Source organism: Homo sapiens, chromosome 5 (assembly GCF_000001405.40).
Source record: "Homo sapiens chromosome 5, GRCh38.p14 Primary Assembly".
Lineage (NCBI taxonomy): Eukaryota > Metazoa > Chordata > Mammalia > Primates > Hominidae > Homo > Homo sapiens.
The window spans coordinates 180,400,840-180,419,533 of record NC_000005.10 but is presented as its reverse complement, the minus strand read 5'-3'; positions in this window follow the sequence as shown (position 1 = coordinate 180,419,533).

The following is an 18,694-nucleotide window of genomic DNA, read 5'->3' as shown; positions in this document are numbered from 1 at the left end:
CAAGTACCCCAACCCCTTCTCTCCTTGTCTCTACCCCTTCTCTGCTTTCCTGGGGCAGGGGCAAGTACCCCTCAACCCCTTCTCCTTCGCCCTTAGCGGCAAGTCCCGCTTTCCTAGGGGGCAAGAAACCCCCAATCGCTTATTTCTGCACCCCAACCTCTTATCTCTGTGCCCCAATCCCTTATTTCCGCACCCTGACCTCTTATCTCTGTGCCCCAATCCCTTATTTCCGTGCCCCAACCCCTTCTCTGCTTTTCTGGAGGGCAAGAACCCCCCCCCTCCTTCTCCGTGTCTCTACTCTTTTCTCTGGGCTTGCCTCCTTCACTATGGGTAAGCTTCCACCTTCCATTCCTCCTTCTTCTCCTTTAGCCTGTGTTCTCAAAAACTTAAAACCTCTTCCACTCACACCTGACCTAAAACCTAAATGCCTTATTTTCTTCTGCAATGCCGCTTGACTCCAATACAAGCTCGACAGTAGTTCCAAATAGCTGGAAAACGGCACTTTCAATTTTTCCATCCTACAAGATCTAAATAATTCTCGTCGTAAAATGGGCAAACGGTCTGAGGTGCCTGACGTCCAGGCATTCTTTTACACATCAGTCCCTTCCTAGTCTCTGTGCCCAATGCAACTCGTCCCAAATCTTCCTTCTTTCCCTCCCGCCTGTCCCCTCAGTCCCAACCCCAAGCGTCGCTGAGTCTTTCTAATGTTCCTTTTCTACAGACCCATCTGACCTCTCCCTTCCTCCCCAGGCTGCTCCTCACCAGGCCGAGCTAGGTCCCAATTCTTCCTCAGCCTCCGCTCCTGCACCCTATAATCTTTTCATCGCCTCCCCTCCTCACACCTGCTCTGGCTTACAGTTTCGTTCCGTGACTAGCCCTCCCCCACCTGCCCAGCAATTTACTCTTAAAAAGGTGGCTGGAGCCAAAGGCATAGTCAAGGTTAATGCTCCTTTTTCTTTATCCCAAATCAGATAGCGTTTAGGCTCTTTTTCATCAAATATAAAAATCCAGCCCAGTTCATGGCTCGCTCGGCAGCAACCCTGAGACACTTTACAGCCCTAGACCCTAAAAGGTCAAAAGGCCGTCTTATTCTCAATATACATTTTATTACCCAATCTGTTCCCGACATTAAATAAAACTCCAAAAATTAAATTCCAGCCCTCAAACCCCACAACACGATTTAATTAACCTCGCCTTCAAGGTGTACCATAATAGAAAAAAGTTGCAATTCCTTGCCTCCACGGTGAGACAAACCCCAGCCACATCTCCAGCACACAAGAACTTCCAAACGCCTGAACCGCAGCGGCCAGGCGTTCCCCCAGAACCTCCTCCCCCAGGAGCTTGCTACAAGTGCCAGAAATCTGACCACCAGGCCAAGGAATGCCCGCAGCCTGGGATTCCTCCTAAGCCGCATCCCATCTGTGTGGGACCCCACTGAAAATCGGACTGTTCAACTCACCTGGCAGCCACTCCCAGAGCCCCTGGAACTCCGGCCCAAGGCTCTCTGACTGACTCCTTCCCAGATCTTCTCGGCTTAGCGGCTGAAGACTGACACTGCCCGATCGCCTCGGAAGCCCCCTAGACCATCACGGACACCGAGCTTTGGGTAACTCTCACAGTGGAAGGTAAGTCCGTCCCCTTCTTAATCAATATGGAGTCTACCCACTCCACATTACCTTCTTTTCAAGGCCTGTTTCCCTGCCTCCATAACTGTTGTGGGTATTGACGGCCAAGCTTCAAAACCCCTGAAAACTCCCCCACTCTTGTGCCAACTTGGACAACACTCTTTTATGCACTCTTTTTTAGTTATCCCCACCTGCCCAGTTCCCTTATCAGGCCGAGATATTTTAACCAAATTGTATGCTTCCCTGACTATTCCTGGATTACAGCCGCATCTCATTGCCGCCCTTCTCCCCAACCCAAAGCCTCCTTCGCATCTTCCTCTCATATCCCCCAACCTTAACCCACAAGTATGGGACATCTCTACTCCTTCCCTGGCAACTGATCACATGCCCATTACCATCCCATTAAAACCTAATCACCCTCACCCCGCTCAACGCCCATATCCCATCCCACAGCATGCTTTAAAAGGATTAAAGCCTGTTACCACTCGCCTGCTACAGCATGGGCTTCTAAAACCTATAAACTCTCCTTACAATTCCCCCATTTTACCTGTCCAAAAACTGGATAAGTCTTACAGATTAGTTCAGGATCTGCGTCCTATCAACCAAATTGTTTTGCCATCCACCCTGTGGTGCCCAACCCGTACACTCTTTTGTCCTCAATCCGTTCCTCCACAATTCACTATTCTGTTCTCCACCTTAAAGATGCTTTTTTCACTATTCCCCTGCACCCCTCGTCCCAGCCTCTCTTTGCTTTCACTTAGACTGACCCTGACACCCATTAGGCTCAGCAAATTACCAAGGCTGTACTGCTGCAAAGCTTCACAGACAGCCCCCATTACTTCAATCAAGCCCAAATTTCTTCCTCATCTGTTACTTATCTCGGCATAATTCTCACAAAAACACACGTGCTTTCCCTGCCAATCGTGTCCGACTGATCTCTCAAACCCCAGCACCTTCTACAAAACAACAACTCCTTTCCTTCCTAGGCATGGTTAGCGTGGTCAGAATTCTTACACAAGAGCCAGGACCACACTCTGTAGCCTTTCTGTCCAAACAACTTGACCTTACTGTTTTAGCCTAGCCCTCATGTCTGCGTGCAGCGGCTGCTGCTGCTTTAATACTTTTAGAGGCCCTCAAAATCACAAACTTTATCAGTCCTCCAGGCCCAAGTTGACTCGTTAGCTGCAGTTGTCCTCCAAAACCGCCGAGGCCTTGACTGACTTACTGCTGAGAAAGGAGGACTCTGCATATTCTTAAATGAGGAGTGTTGTTTTTACCTAAATCAATCTGGCCTGGTGTATGACAACATAAAAAAACTCAAGGATAGAGCCCAAAAACTTGCCAACCAAGCAAGTAATTATGCTGAACCCCCTTGGGCACTCTCTAATTGGATGTCCTGGGTCCTCCCAATTCTTAGTCCTTTAATACCCATTTTTCTCCTCCTTTTATTTGGACCTTGTATCTTCCGTTTAGCTTCTCAATTCATCCAAAACCGTATCCAGGCCATCACCAATCATTCTATACGACAAACGTTTCTTCTAACATCCCCACAATGTCACCCCTTACCACAAGACCTCCCTTCAGCTTAATCTCTCCCACTCTAGGTTCCCACGCCGCCCCTAATCCCGCTCGAAGCAGCCCTGAGAAACATCGCCCATTCTCTCTCCATACCACCCCCCAAAAATTTTCGCCGCTCCAACACTTCAACACTATTTTGTTTTATTTGTCTTATTAATATAAGAAGGCAGGAATGTCAGGCCTCTGAGCCCAGGCCAGGCCATCGCATCCCCTGTGACTTGCAGGTATACATCCAGATGGCCTGAAGTAACTGAAGATCCACAAAAGAAGTAAAAACAGCCTTAACTGATGACATTCCACCATTGTGATTTGTTCCTGCCCCACCCTAACTGATCAATGTACTTTGTAATCTCCCCCACCCTTAAGAAGGTACTTTGTAGTCTCCCCCACCCTTAAGAAGGTTCTTTGTAATTCTCCCCACCCTTGAGAATGTACTTGGTGAGATCCACCCCTGCCCACCAGAGAACAACCCCCTTTGACTGTAATTTTCCATTACCTTCCCAAATCCTATAAAATGGCCCCACCCCTATCTCCCTTCGCTGACTCTCTTTTCGGACTCAGCCCACCTGCACCCAGGTGAAATAAACAGCTTTATTGCTCACACAAAGCCTGTTTGGTGGTCTCTTCACACGGACGTGTATGAAAGTCAGGAGTTCGAGACCAGCCTGGCCAACATGGTGAAACTCCGTCTCTACTAAAAATACAAAAATTAGCTGGGCGTGGTGGCGGGCACCTATAATCTCAGCTACTTGAGAGGCTGAGGCAGGAGAATTGCTGGAATCTAGGAGGCAGAGGTTTCAGTGAGCCGAGATCCCACCATCTCATTCCGGCTCGGGCGAGAACAGTGAGACTCCATCTCAAACAAAAACAAAAACAAAAACAAAAACAGAAATCCGCAGTTATTTGAATGGATGTTTCCATATTTATAGTGTGTCCTTTTTTTCTATTTTAAAGATATATTTCTTTATCATTAGTTTCAGTACATGATATGTGTGGGCATGGATTTCTTTAAGTTTATCCTGTTTGTGTTTTACTTAGCTTCTTACATTTGTAAGTTTATGGGTGTTTTTTTTTTTTGCCAAATTTGGGGAGTTTTCAGTCATTCTTTTTCAAAAATTTTTTCACACTCCTTTTCATTATTTCACCTTTTCTTTTGGAATTATGATGACATGAATATTGGGCCCTTTGATATATCTCACAGGCTTGAGGCTGTGTTCATTTTTTTCTACATTTTTGTTCTCTGTAGTCATCCAGTCATTTTAGTAATTTAGTTTGCTCTGTCTTCAAGTTCAGTAATTTTCTTCCCCAGTCTATTATTATTACTACAGACAGGGTCTTCCTCTGTCACCCAGGCTGAGTACAGTGGCCCAATCATAGCTCACTGCAGCCTTGAACTCCTGGGCTGGAGTGAGCCTCCCACCTCAGCCTCCCAAGTGGCTAGGACTACAGGTGCACACCATCACATCTGGCTAATTTTTAAATTTTTTGTAGACATGAGGTCTTACTATGTTGCCCAGGCTGCTCTCAAATTCCTGGCCTCAAGAGATCCTCCTGCTTCAGTCTCCCAAAGCACTGGGATTATAAGTGTGAGCCACCACACCAGGCCTGGTTATAGTTTTTTTAAGTTTTAAAATTCCCATTGGGTTCTTTTTAATATCTTCTATTTCTCTGCTAAAAATTGCTATCTTTCCACTCCTTTCAAAGGGTTGTTTGCCCTAACTTCCTGGAACATGACTGTGATAGTTGCTTTAAAATCTTCTTCTAATAGCATCTGTGTCATCTCTGGGTTGGCATCTGTTGACTGTCTTTTCCCTTGAGAGTTGTCAAGATTTGCCCAGTTCTTCATATATTGAGCACTCTTGTGTCCTGGACATTTTGAATATTACATTCTGGAACTCTAAGTCTCGTTTAGCTCTAATGGAGAATGTTGAGATTTGTTTGCTTGTTTTAGCAATCAGGTGCTTCCCTGCTTTCTGAGTACTGTGATTCCAATCTCAGTTTACTTTTCAAAGCCTTCGCAGTGGTATTTATATTTGTCCTGCCTGTGCGGCACCCAGTGGCCAATCTGGGACCTGAATGGTGGTCTCCCCTGTAGCTTAGCTCTCAAAGCCATCAATCTGACGTTTAGGGTCAGATGCATACATGCACATGGCCAGCTAAGAGGTGAGTGCAAGAGTTCAGACAAAATTGTATATGTATCAGATGGATTTTTTAAAGCTTCTTCCTCTCTGTCATCTCTCCAACACGTTTTTGCATCCAGTCACCCCACCAACCCCAAAACTTCCTGAGTTTCTTTTCTTTTTTTTTTTTTTTGAGACGGAATCTTGCTCTGTCACCCAGGCTGGAGTGCAATGGCAGGATCTTGCCTTACTGCAACCTCCGCCTCCCGGATTCAAGCGATTCTCCTGCCTCAGCCTCCCAAGTAGCTGGGATTACAGGTGCCTGCCACCACGCTCAGCTAATTTTTTGTATTTTTAGTAGAGACGGGGTTTCACCATGTTGGCCATGGCTGGTCTTGAACTCTTGACCTCAGGCAATCCACCCGCCTCGGCCTCCCAAAGTGCTGGGATTACAGGCATGAGCCACCGTGCCCCGCCCCAAACTTCCTGAGTTTCTAACTCGAATGTTGGGACTTTCGTTTTCCAGCTCTGTCATGTACTTCTTCCCACTGTGTCTGCCTGTGGAGCCAGGCAGTGTGAGAACACAGAAAACAAAAGCTGTGGGGAGTCCCCCTATCCTCTTGGGACCACAGCTGTCTGGTTAGGAAGGGTTTTCCTCCCTCAGAGTTTCAGGTACCTTCCAGAGGCTACTGTTGCTGCAACGCTGTGAGACTGCCTGGAGGGCAGGGTGGAAGAGATGGAAGCAAGTAGATTTCCCCGACTCTCTGTTATACCTAGGGGCCCCCGTCTCCACTCTTTGCATCAAGGGCTTCTCTTAGAGCTCTTTCTGTTCACATCCAGCACTTACTTCTGGGCTTCAGGCAGCCTGTGAGTCTAGGCCAGGCAATACCAAAGGGAAACAAAAGAAGAGAGGAGTCTCAGGCTGGCTCAATGGCATTAGTGATCTGTTTTTCTGCCCAATTCCTATTATTTTTAAAAATAAACTTTTTTTTTTTTTTTTTTTTTTTTTGAGATGGAGTCTCGCTCAGCCGCCCAGGCTGGAGTACAGTGGCGCAATCTCGGCTCACTACAGCCTCCATCTCCGGGATTCAAGCGATTCTCCCATCTCAGCCTCCCGAGTAGCTGGGATTACAGGTGCATGCCACCATCATGCCCAGCTAATTTTTGTATTTTAGTAGCGATGGGGTTTCACCATGTTGGCCGGGCTAATCTTGAACTCCCTGACCTCAGGTGACCCGCCTGCCTCGGCCTCCCAAAGTGCTAGGATTACAGGCAAGAACCACGGCACCCGGCTAAAAATAGACTATTTTTCAAGAGAAGTTTTAGGCTCACAGCAAAATTGAATAGAAAGTACAGAGAATTCCTATATATCCCCTGCACCATTGCCACCCACCCCTCTGCACAGCTCCTCTGCTATTAACATCTTTCTTTTCTTTTTCTTTTTTTTTGTTGTTGTTGAGACGGAGTCTCGCTCTGTCGCCCAGGCTGGAGCACAGTGGTGCCATCTCCGCTCACTGCAAGCTCCACCTCCCGGGTTCACACCATTCTCCTGCCTCAGCCTCCCGAGTAGCTGGGACTACAGGCCCCCGCCACCACGCCCGGCTAATTTTTTGTGTGTTTTTAGTAGAGACGGGGTTTCACTGTGTTAGCCAGGATGGTCTCGATCTCCTGACCTCGTGATCCGCCCGCCTCAGCCTCCCAAAGTGCTGGGATTACAGGCGTGAGCCACCGCGCCCGGCCCCACGTTTTTATTTTTAATGAAGTCCAGCTGACCAATTTCTTCCTTCACAGATCATGCCTTTTGTATTGCATCTGAAAAGTCATCTAGGTTTTTTCCTATGTTATCTTCTAGGAGTTTTATAGTTTTGCATATTATTTAAGACTGTGACCTATTTTGAGTTAATTTCTGTGAAGGATGCAAAGGATGTAAGAATTGTCTCCAGATTATTCACCCCCCACGCCCGCCCCGCCCCGCCCCGCCGGCAACATAGATGCTGATATGGTTTGGCTGTGGCCCCACCCAGATCTCATCTTGAATTGCAGTTCTCATAATCCCTACGTGTTATGGGAGGGACCCGGTAGGAGGTAGTTTAATCATAGGGGTGGTTACTCTCATGCTGTTCTCATGATAATGAGTGAGTTCTCACAAAATCTAATGGTTTTATAAGAAGCCTTTTCCCCTTTTGCTCTGCACTTCCCCTTGCTGCCGTCATGTTAAGAAGGACGTGTTTGCTTCCTCTTCCACCATGATTGTAAGGTTCCTGAGGCCTCTCCAGCCATGCTGAACTGTGAGTCAATTAAATCTCTTTCCTTTATAAATTACCCAGTCTCATGTATGTCTTTATCAGCAGTGTGAGAACGAACTAACATAGATGCCCATCACCATTTGATGAAGGCTATCTTTGCTCCATAGGATTGCCTTTGCTCCTTTGTCAAATATTAGTTGACTATATTTGTGTGGGTCTATTTCTGTCTGGGCTCTCTACTCCCTTCCATTCATCTATTTGTCTGTTCTGTCATCAATACCTTACTGTCTTGATGGCTGTAGCTTTAAAGTAATCCTGAAATCAAGTAGTGTCAGTCCCCCAACTTTATTCTTCTCCTTCAATATTGTGTTGATGGCTCTGGGTCTTCTTGCCTCTCTACATAAACTTTAGAATCAATTCATAGATATTCACAAAATAACCTGCTGGGAATTTCGTTATGATTGCATTTAACCTATAGCTCAAGTTGAGAAGAACTGATGTTATGGTTTAAATGTTTGTGTCCCCACAAAATTCATATATTGATACCTAATCCTCAATGCAATCATACTAAAATGTGTGGCCTTTGGAGGTGATTAAGTCACAAGGGCTCTGCCCTTATGAATGGGATTAATATCCTTATAAAAGAGGTTATAGCTCCTTTTATAAGGCTTGTTTGCCCATTCTGCCATATGAGGGTATATGAGAAGGTGCCATCTGTGAAGAACAGGCCCTCACCAAACACCAAATCTGCTGGTGCCTTGATCTTGGATTTCCCAGTCTCCAGAACTGTCAGCAATAAATTCTGCTATTTATACAATACCCAGTTTAAGGTATTTTGTTATAGTAGCCTGAACAGACTAAGACACCTGACATCTTGACAATATTGAATCTTTCTGTCCATGAACATGGACTATCTCTCCATTTATTTAGTTCTTTTATTTCTTTCCTTAGAGTTTTGCAGTTTTCCTCATATAGATCCTGTACATGTTTTATTAGATTTATATCTAAGTATTACATTCTTTTGGGTGCTAATTAAAATAGTATGTTTTTCCTTTCAAATTCCACTTGTTCATTGCTCATATATAAGGAAGGAATTAACTTTTATATATTTACCTTGTATCCTGAAGCCTTGCTATAATCTCTTATAATTTCCAGGAGGTTTTTTTGTTGTTTGTTCTTTTAGACTTTATACATAGAAAATCATGTCATCTGTGAACAAAGACAGTTTTGTCTTCCTTCCCAATCCATATTCCTTTTAGTTCCTATTATTGTCTTATTGGATTAACAAGAACTTCCAGTATGATATTGAAAAGAAAAGGTGAGGGGACATCTTTGCCTTGTTCCCAATTTTTTTTTTTTTTAGACACAGTCTCACTTTGTTACCCAGGCAGCAGTGCAGTGGCGTGAACTCAGCTCACTGCAACCTCCGCCTCCTGGGTTCAAATGATCCTCGTGCCTCAGCCTCCTGAGTAGCTGGGATTACAGGTGTGCACCACCTCGCCTGGCTAATTTTTGTTTTTTTAGTAGAGACGGGTTTTCCTCATGTTGGCCAGGCTGGTCTCAAACTCCTGGCTTCAGGTGATCCACCCACCTTGGCTTCCCAAACTATTGGGGTTATAGGCATAAGCCACGTGCCCAGCCCTTGTTCCTGATCTTAATGGGAAAACTTGTAGCTTCTTTCCATAAGGATGATGTTAGCTGCAGGTTTTTGGTAGATGTTCTTCATCAAGTTGAGGAAGATGCTTTTTATCGCAGTTACTAAGATGACCATATGATTTTTCTTCTTTTGTCTGTTGATGTAATGAGTTACATTACATTAATTGGTTTTTGAATATTCAATTAGTCTCACATACTTGGTCAGTGTTTATAATTGTTTTTACAGATTGTAGGATTCTATTTGCTAGTATTTTGTTGAGGATTTTTTCATACATGTTTATGAGAGATATTGGTCTGCCATTTTATTTTCTTATAATGCCTTTGTCTGCTTTTGGGATTAGGGTAATACTGGCCTCACAGAGTGAGTTCAGAAGTATTCCCTCTGCTTCTAACTTCTGGAAGAGATTGGAGAGAATTTTAATTTCTTCTCTAAATGTTTGGTAGAATTCACCATCTAGCACAGTCCTTTCTTTTATTTTTTTCTTTATTTTTGAGTCAGAGTCTTGTTCTGTCGCCCAGGCTGGAGTACAGTGATGCAATCTTGGCTCACTGCAATCTCCGCCTCCCGGGTTTGAGGGTGAATCAATTTCTTTAACTGATATAGGAGTATTCAGATAGTCTATTTTTTCTTGTGTAAGTTTTGGCAGATTGTGTCTTTCAAGGAATTGGTCCATGTCATCTAGGTTATTTGTGGGCATAGAATTGTTTATAGTATTCCTGTATTATCCTTTTAATGTCTATGGGGCCTATAGTGATGTCCCTCTTTCATTTCTGGAGTGCAACGGTGTGATCTCAGCTCGCTGCAACTTCCGCCTCCCAGGTTCAAGCCATTCTCCTGCCTCAGCCTCCCGAATAGCTGGGATTAACAGGCGCATGCCACCACATGCAGCTAATTTTTGTATTTTTTGTAGAGACAGGGTTTCACCATGTTGGCCTGGCTAGTCTCAAACTCCTGACCTCAGGTGAACCCCCAACCTAGGCCTCCTAAAATGCTGGGATTACAGGTGTGAGCAAGCATGCCCAGCCACTCTTTCATTTCTAATATTAGTAATTTGTGTCTTTTTTCTTTTTTCCTTAATAGCATGGCAAGATACGAATAAATTTTACTGATCTCCTCAAAGAACCAGCTCATTTTCTCTACTGATTTTCTGTTTTCTTTTTTCTTGTTTTTTTTTTTTTTTTTTTTTTTTTTTTTGAGACGAGGCCTGGCTCTGTCATGCAGGCTGGAGTGCGGTGGCGTGATCTTGGTTCACTGCAACCTTTGCTTCCCAGGTGCAAAGCATCCTCCCACCTCAGCTTCCTGAGCAGCTGGGACTATAGGCACACACCAACATGACAGGCTAATTTTTGTATTTTTGGTAGAGACGAGGTTTTGCCATGTTTCCTAGGCTGGTCTCAAACTTCTGAGCTCAAGCCATCCTCCTGACTTAGCCTCCCAAAGTGCTGGGATGAGCCACCATACCTGGCAGATTTCTTGTTTTCAGTTTCATCGATTTCTGCTCTAATTCTTATTATTTCTTTTCTTTTGTTTACCTTGAACTTCATTTGTGCCTCTTTTTCTATTTTCCTGTGGTAGAAGCTTAGATTATTGATTTCATACCTTTCTTCTTTCCTAACATTTGCATAGAATGCCATAAATTTCCCTCTAAGTACTGCTTTCACTGCATCCTACAAGTGTTAAGTTGTATATTTTAGTTTCATTTAGCTCAAAATATTCCTAAATTTCTCTTGAGATTCCTATTTTGACCCATGTATTATTTAGAAGTGAGTTAATCTCCATATATTCTGGGATTTTCTGGCTATCTGTTATTGGTTTCTAGTTTAATTACATCGTGGGCCGGGCATGGTGGCTCACACCTGTAATCCCAGCACTTTGGGAGGTTGAGGTGGGGGGAATCACAAGGTCAAGAGATGGAGACCATCTGGCCAACATGGTGAAACCCCGTCTCTAATAAAAATACAAAAATTAGCCAGGCGTGGTGGTGTGTGCCTGTAATCCCAGCTACTCGGGAGGCTGAGGCAGGATAATGGCTTGAACCCAGGAGGCAGAGGTTGCAGTGAGCCGAGATCACACCACTGCACTCCAGCCTGGGCGACAGAGCGAGACCCCGTCTCAAAAAAAAAAAAAAAAAAAAAATTACACTGTGGTCCGGGAGCATACATTGCATGATTTCTATTCTTTTAAGTGTGTTAAGGTATGTTTTATGGCCCAAAATATAGTCTATTTAATGAATGTTCCACGTGAACTTGGGAAGAATATTCTGCTATTGTTGGTTAAAGTTGTCTATAGATGTTAATTATATACAGTTGTTTGATGGTGCTGTTGAGTTCAACTATGTCCTTAATCATTTTCTGCCTGCTAGATCTATTTCTGATAGAGGGGTGATGAAGTCTCCAGCTACAATAGTAGTTTTTTGTATGCATTGTTGTTACACATTAAGGGTTGTTGTGTCTTCTGAACTGGCGTCATTACCATTATAGAATGGCCCCATTTATCCCTGAGAGTTTTTTTTGCTCTGGAGTTTGCTCTGTCTGAAGTTAGTATAGCCGCTCCACGTTTCTCCTCCACCCAGCTTTATTGACGTATAATTGACAAATAAAGATTGTATGCACTTAAAACATACTGTGTAAGATTTGATATATGTATGCATTGCAAAATGATTACCATAATCAAGTTAATTAACACATCTATCACCTCACATAGTTACTATTTTGTGAGTGTTTGTGTGTGTGTCAAGAACACTTAAGACCTACTCTTTTAGCAAATTTCAAGTATACAATACAGTATTATTAACTATAGCTATTATGTTGTACCTTAGAGTCTCAGAACTTACTCATCTTATGACTGGAAGTTTATGCCCTTGATATTTTCCCCACTTACCCTGCTCCCAACCCCTGGCAACCACTGTTCTACTCTCTGCTTCTCTGAGTTTGACTTTTTAAGATTCCACATATGGGTGAAATCATGCAATATTTGTCTTTTTTTTTTTCTTTCTTTCTCTCTCTCTCTCTCTTTTTTTTTTTTTTTTTTGAGATGGAGTCTTGCTCTGTTGCCAGGCTGGAGTGCAATGGCGTGATCTCGGCTCACTGCAACCTCTGCCTCCTGGGTTCAAGCCATTATCCTGCCTCAGCCTTCCAAGTAGCTGAGACTACAGGTGCATGCCACTGCACCCAGCTAATTTTTGTATTTTTACTAGAGACGGGGTTTCACCATGTTGGCCAGGCTGGTCTCAATCTCTTGACCTTGTGATCCGCCCGCCTCGGCCTCCCAAAGTGCTGGGATTACAGGCGTTAGCCACCATGCCCGGCCGCAATATTTGTCTTTCTGTGTCTGGCTTATTTCACTTAGCACAATGTCCTCCAGGTTCATTCATGTTGTTACAAATCACAGGATTTCTTTCCTCTTTATGGCTGATTAATATTCCACTGTATGTGTGTATATGTGTGTATGTGCCATATTTTCTTTATAGAATTCATATATTTCACATTCATCCATCCATTAGTGGCACTTAGATTGTTTCTGTATCTCGGCTTTTGCGAATAATGCTGCAATGAGCATGGCAGTGTAGATATCTCTTCAAGATACTGACATCATGTACTTTGGATATATATCTAGAAATGGGATTGCTGGGTCATATAATAGCCCTATTTAAAATTTTTTAAGTCCATACTGTTTTCTGATGGTTACACTCATTTGCATTCCCATCAACGATGTACAAGGGCTCCCTTTTCTCCACACCGCTACTCATGATCACTGTCACCACTCCATGCCAACTACTAGTATTTCCTATCTTCTTTCTTTTTTCAGTCTCTAAGATAAGAACGCATTTGATAACAGCACCTAGCTTTCTTTTGATTAGTTTGCATGGTATATTTTTCTCCATCTCGTTAAGTTTAATCTACATGTGTCTACATATTTAAATCGGATTTATTGTAGACAACATATAGTTCGGTCTGTTTCTTGATCCACTCTGACAATCTCTGTCTTTTAATCGGTATAGTTAGACCATTGATGTTTAAAGTAATTATATAATTGAATTAATATCCACCACATTTGTTACTGTTTTCTATTAATGGCTCGTGTTATTTGTTCCTCTTTTCTTCTTCTACTCTTTTTCTGCCGTTTGTGTTTTTTACTGAGCATTTTACATGATCCCATTTTTCCTTCTTTCTTAGTGTATCAATTATACTTTTTTGTTTGTTTGTTTGTTTGTTTTTTGACAGGGTCTTACTCTGTCACCCAGGCTGGTGTGCAGTGGCCTGATCATGGCTCACTGCAGCCTCGACCTCCTGGGCTCCAGCAATCCTCCTACCTCAGCCTCCTGAGTAGCAGAGACCACAGGTGTGGGCCACCATGCCAGGCTAATTTTCGTATTTTTGGTAGAGATGAGGTTATGCCATGTTGCCCAGGCTGATCTCGAACTCCTGAGCTCAAGCAATCCACCTGCCTCGGCCTCCCAAAGTTCTGGGATTACAGGCGTGAGCCACCACGCCCAGCCTACTCAATTATACTTTTTCAAAAACTTTGTTTTAGTGGTCATCCTAGAGCTTGCAATACACATTTACAACTCGTCCAAATTCACTTTCAGAATAACTCTATACCATTTCACAGGTAGTGCAAGTACCTTATAATAACAAAATATTCCTAATTCCTCCCTCCTGAGTCTTGTATCATTGCTGTAATTTTTCATTTATACATATGCTATAATCGTTGAATACATTGTTGCTGGGATTATCTGAACAGTTATCTGTTAGATCAATTAAGAATAAGAAAAATAAAAGTGTTTCTTTTACCCTCACTTATTTCTTCTATATTACCCTTCCCTTTTTATGTAGATCTGATTTTATCTTCTCTCTGAAAAACTTCTTTAACATTTCTTGCAAGGTAGGTCTACTGTTGCCAAACTGTCAATTTGTGTTTGTCTGAGAAAGTCTTTCTCCTTTACTTTTGATGGTTTCACAGAATATGGAATTATAAGTTGGGGAATTGTAAGTTGGTGGGTTTTTTTCCCTTAACACTTAAAATATTTCACTTCACCCTTTTTGCTTTCATGGTTTCTGAGAAGTCAGATGTAATTCTTATCTTTGCTTCTTGGGTAGATAAGATGTTTTCCCCCTCTGGTTTCTTTCAAGATTGTGTTGTTATCTTTGATTTCTGCAGTTTGAATATGATATGCTGAGGGGTCATCTTTTTGGTTTTGGAGGGATTTATCCCGATTGCTGTTCCCTGAGTTTCCTTGCCTGTGGTTTGGTGCCTGACATTAATGGGGGAAAATGCTCAGTTATGATTGCTTCAAATATTTCTTTTGTTTCTTTATTTCTTCCCTTTCTGGTGTTCCCTTTATGCATATGTTACAACTTTTGTAGTTATTTCACAGTTCTTGGATATTATGTTCCTTTTTTTTTTTTTTTTTTAGACAAGTCTCGGAGTCTCGCTCTGTTGCCCAGGCTGGAATGCAGTGGCGCAATCTCGGCTCACTGCAACCTCCACCTCCTGGGTTCAAGTGATTCTCCTGCCTCAGCATCCTGAGTAGCTGGGACTACAGGCGTGCACCACCACGCCCGGCTAATTTTTGTATTTTTGGTAGAAATGGGGTTTCACTATGTTGGCCAGGATGGTCTCGATCTCTTGACCTTGTGATCCACCTGCCTCAGCCTCCCAAAGTGCTGGGATTACAGGCATGAGCCACCGCACCTGGCCCCATTTTGTGTGTGTGTGCGTGTGTTCTCTTTTCTCCTTGCATTTATGTTTGGGAAGTTTTGATTGACGTATCTACAAGCTCAGATATTTTTTTCCCTCATTATGTGTAATCTACTAATGGTCCCACCAAAGGCGTTCCTCATTCCCTTTACAGTAGTTTCCATCTCTAACGTTCCTTTTATTCTTCATTAGAATTTCCATCTTTCTGTTTACATTGCCCATCTCTTCTTGCGTGCAGTCTACTTTTCCCATTAGAGTTCTCAGCAATTTTTTTTTTTTTTTTGAGACAGAATTTTGCCCTGTCACCCAGGCTGGAGTGCAGTGGCACGATCTCGGCTCACTGCAACCTCTGCCTCCCGGGTTCAAGCGATTCTCGTGCCCCAGCCTCCTGAGTAGCTCGGATTACAGGCGTGCGCCACCACACCTAGCTAAATGTTTTGCATGTTTAGTAGAGACAGGGTTTTGCCATGTTGGTCAGGCTTGTCTCAAACTCCTGACCTCAGGTGATCCACCCCCCATCTTGGCCTCCCAAAGTGCTGGGATTACAGGTGTGAGCCACTGTTCCTGGCCAAGAGCTCTTAGCATTTAATCATAATTGTTTAAAATTCACAGTCATCATTTCAACATCCCTGCCACCTCTGAGTGTGGGTCTGACACTTGGTCTATCTCTTCAAACCATTTTTTGCCTTTTAGTATATGCCTTCCCTAAGGGAAGGGGGAGAGCACTACATCAAGGGAGCACCCCATGGGACAAAAGAATCCGAACAGCAGCCCTTGAGCCCCAGATCTTCCCTCTGACATCGTCTACCCAAATGAGAAGGAGTTAGAAATGTAATTCTGGGCCGGGCGCAGTGGCTCGCGCCTGTAATCCCAGCACTTTGGGAGGCCGAGGCAGGTGGATCACGAGGTCAGGAGATCGAGACCATCCTGGCTAACACAGTGAAACCCCGTCTCTACTAAAAAATATTTTAAAAAAAATTAGCCGGGCGTGGCATCCTGGGGGACAGAGCGGGACTCCGTCTCCAAAAAAAAAAAAAAAAAAAAAAGAAATGTAATTCTGGTAATATGACAAAGCAAGTTTCTTTAACACCCCTAAAAGATCACACCAGCTCACGAGCAATGGATCCAAACCAAGAAGAAATATCTGAAGAAATCATTAAACACTCATAAAATAACACTTAGGAGTGGTGAACCCACATTCAGTGGTCAGAAAAATTTCTAAGACCTAAGTTGCAGACATTTGGACAGATGGAGAGTTCCCATGAATTACTCTTAGAGGGAAAAGCCAGCACCCAAATGGTGTGAACATTCCCATCCCAGCCTTGGACATCTTATCAGCTCAGGCAGAAGGAAGAGAACCAGCACAGACACTGGTCCCTACTCAACAAAGCAATGGGGACTTGAGGCTTTATTTTACTTTTCATTTTATATTGCCTAAATATTCCATTAACATAGAAATAGGAAAATTGAATACCTTAGTCATTGCCATGGGCTCTGACAAAGGGTTCCATACCCCCACGTCATTTGTTGGCCCTGGGGACACATATATTGGCTGAGTGGTAGCTTCCAAAAAGATATGTCCATGTCCTAATCCCTGAGACCTGTGAATGTTCTTATTTAGAAAAAGGGTCTTTGCAGGCCGGGCATGGTGGCTCACGCCTGTAATCCCAACGCTCTGGGAGGCCGAGGCAGGCGGATCACTTGAGGTCAAGAGTTCAAGACAAGCCTTGCCAATGTGGAGAAGCCCCATCTCTACTAAAAATACAGAAATTAGCCGGGCGTGGTGGCGGGCACTTGTAATCCCAGCTATGCGGGAGGCTGAGGCAGGAGAATCGCTTGAACCCCAGACGCAGGGTTTGCAGTGAGCTGAGATCGTATCACTGCACTCCTGCCTGGGTGACAAGTGCGAAACTCCATCTCAAAAAATAAAAATAAAAAAATAAAAAAAGGGTCTTTGCAGATGTAATTAAGTTAAGGATCATGAAATGAGGAGGTCATCCTGGATTGTCCAGGTCGGCCCTAAATCCAATAATAAGCATCCTTATAAGACACATATAAGGGAATACACACGTGGAGGAGAAGGGGGAGTGAAGACCCAGGCAGATACTGGAGTGGTGTGACCACAAGCCAAGGAAACCACAGCCACCAAAAGTTAGAAGAGGCAAAGAATGGGCCAGATGTGGTGGCTCACGCCTGTAATCCCAACACTCTGGGAAGCCGAGGTGGGTCTGAAGTTCAAGATCAGCCTGGCCGACATGGTGAAACCCCGTCTCTACTAAAAATACAAAAATTAGGCGAACATGGTGGCACGTGTCTGTATTCCCAGCTACTCAGGAGGCTGAGGCAGGAGAATCACGTGAACCCAGGAGATGGAGGTTGCAGTAAGCTGAGATTGTGCCACTGTACTCCAGCCTGGGCAACAGAGTGAGACTCCATCTCAAAAAAAAAGAAAAAAAAGAAGAGGCAAAGAACGGATTATTCTCTAGAACCTTGAGGCACCTTGCTGAAGCTCATTGGTTTTGGACTTGTGGACTTCAGAATTGAGAGAACAAATGTCTGTTGTTTTAAGCCACTAAGTTTGTGGCAGTTTGTGAAAGCAACAACAGGAAGCTAATATAGCTTCAGAGGCAGGATCGCTGGTAGGGCATCCTGTCCAGGCCAGCTCGGTCCAGAAGTCAGACCGCAGACAGACTGATGAAAAGTCGTTTCCATCTGAGGTGGGAGGGCAGAAGTGTAAAGACAGGGGCCTTAGCAGGAACCAAGACCTCAACCAAGGAGGAGCACAGTGTCCTTTGAGCAGAGACTCTTGGGAGACCTGCGTAGCTGTGCTGTGGAAGCCTCTCTGTTGTGCGTGTTACTCAGTGTTACATCCTTTGGCAAATTTGTGCATCAGTCAGGATAAGCGAAGCCATGCTTCAATAACAGAGAACCCTCAACTCTTAATGAGGTATAGCAGCAAAGCTTGACTTCTTCCTCATGTCACATGTTTACGATAGGTTATCCATGGCTCCTGCTCCATGTCTCATTTCTCCAGGACTCAGGCTAAAAAAGCAGCCACCATTTCAACAGTCATTTCAATCGTCATCATGGCAGGGGGAAACCGAGAGCTTTGGCAGATCTTGCATAAGCAATTAAATGCTTCAGCTCATTTGTCTGACTCATTAGTCGTCCAACCCCACCCAAACACGGCGGCTGGGAAGTGTGAGCCTATCATGTGCTCAGAGGATGAAGAGCTAAAAATATTTTGTAAGGCAGGGTACCATAGCTCACACCTATAATGTCAGCACTTTGGGAGGCCGAGGTGGGAGGATTGCTTGAGCCCAGGAGTTTGAGACCAGCCTGGGCAACATGGCCAAACCCCATATCTACAAAAAATATAAAAATTAGCCAGGAGTGGTGGTGCACGCCTGTGGTGCCGGCTACTTTTGGGAGGTTAAAGCAGGAGAATCACCTGAGCCCAGGAGTTCCAGGCTGTAGTGAGCCATTATTGTGCCACTGGACTCCAGCCTGGGCAACAGAGTGAGACCCTGTATATACATATTTTGTAAACAGCTGAATGATAGCACACTCTCTGTGAATCTGATGCCCTAGGTCCCACTGATCTTTCCATGATCACTGCCCGGCACAGGCATTGCTGACGTTATATTCAGCTACTGTTGAGCAGCAAGAAGGAAGGAAGGAAGAGAGGGAGGAATGCAGGGAGGGAGAAAAAAGTTTTTGACATGTAAAAAGTGTTGGAGATGGTTTTCCAAAGGAGGACTGAAAATG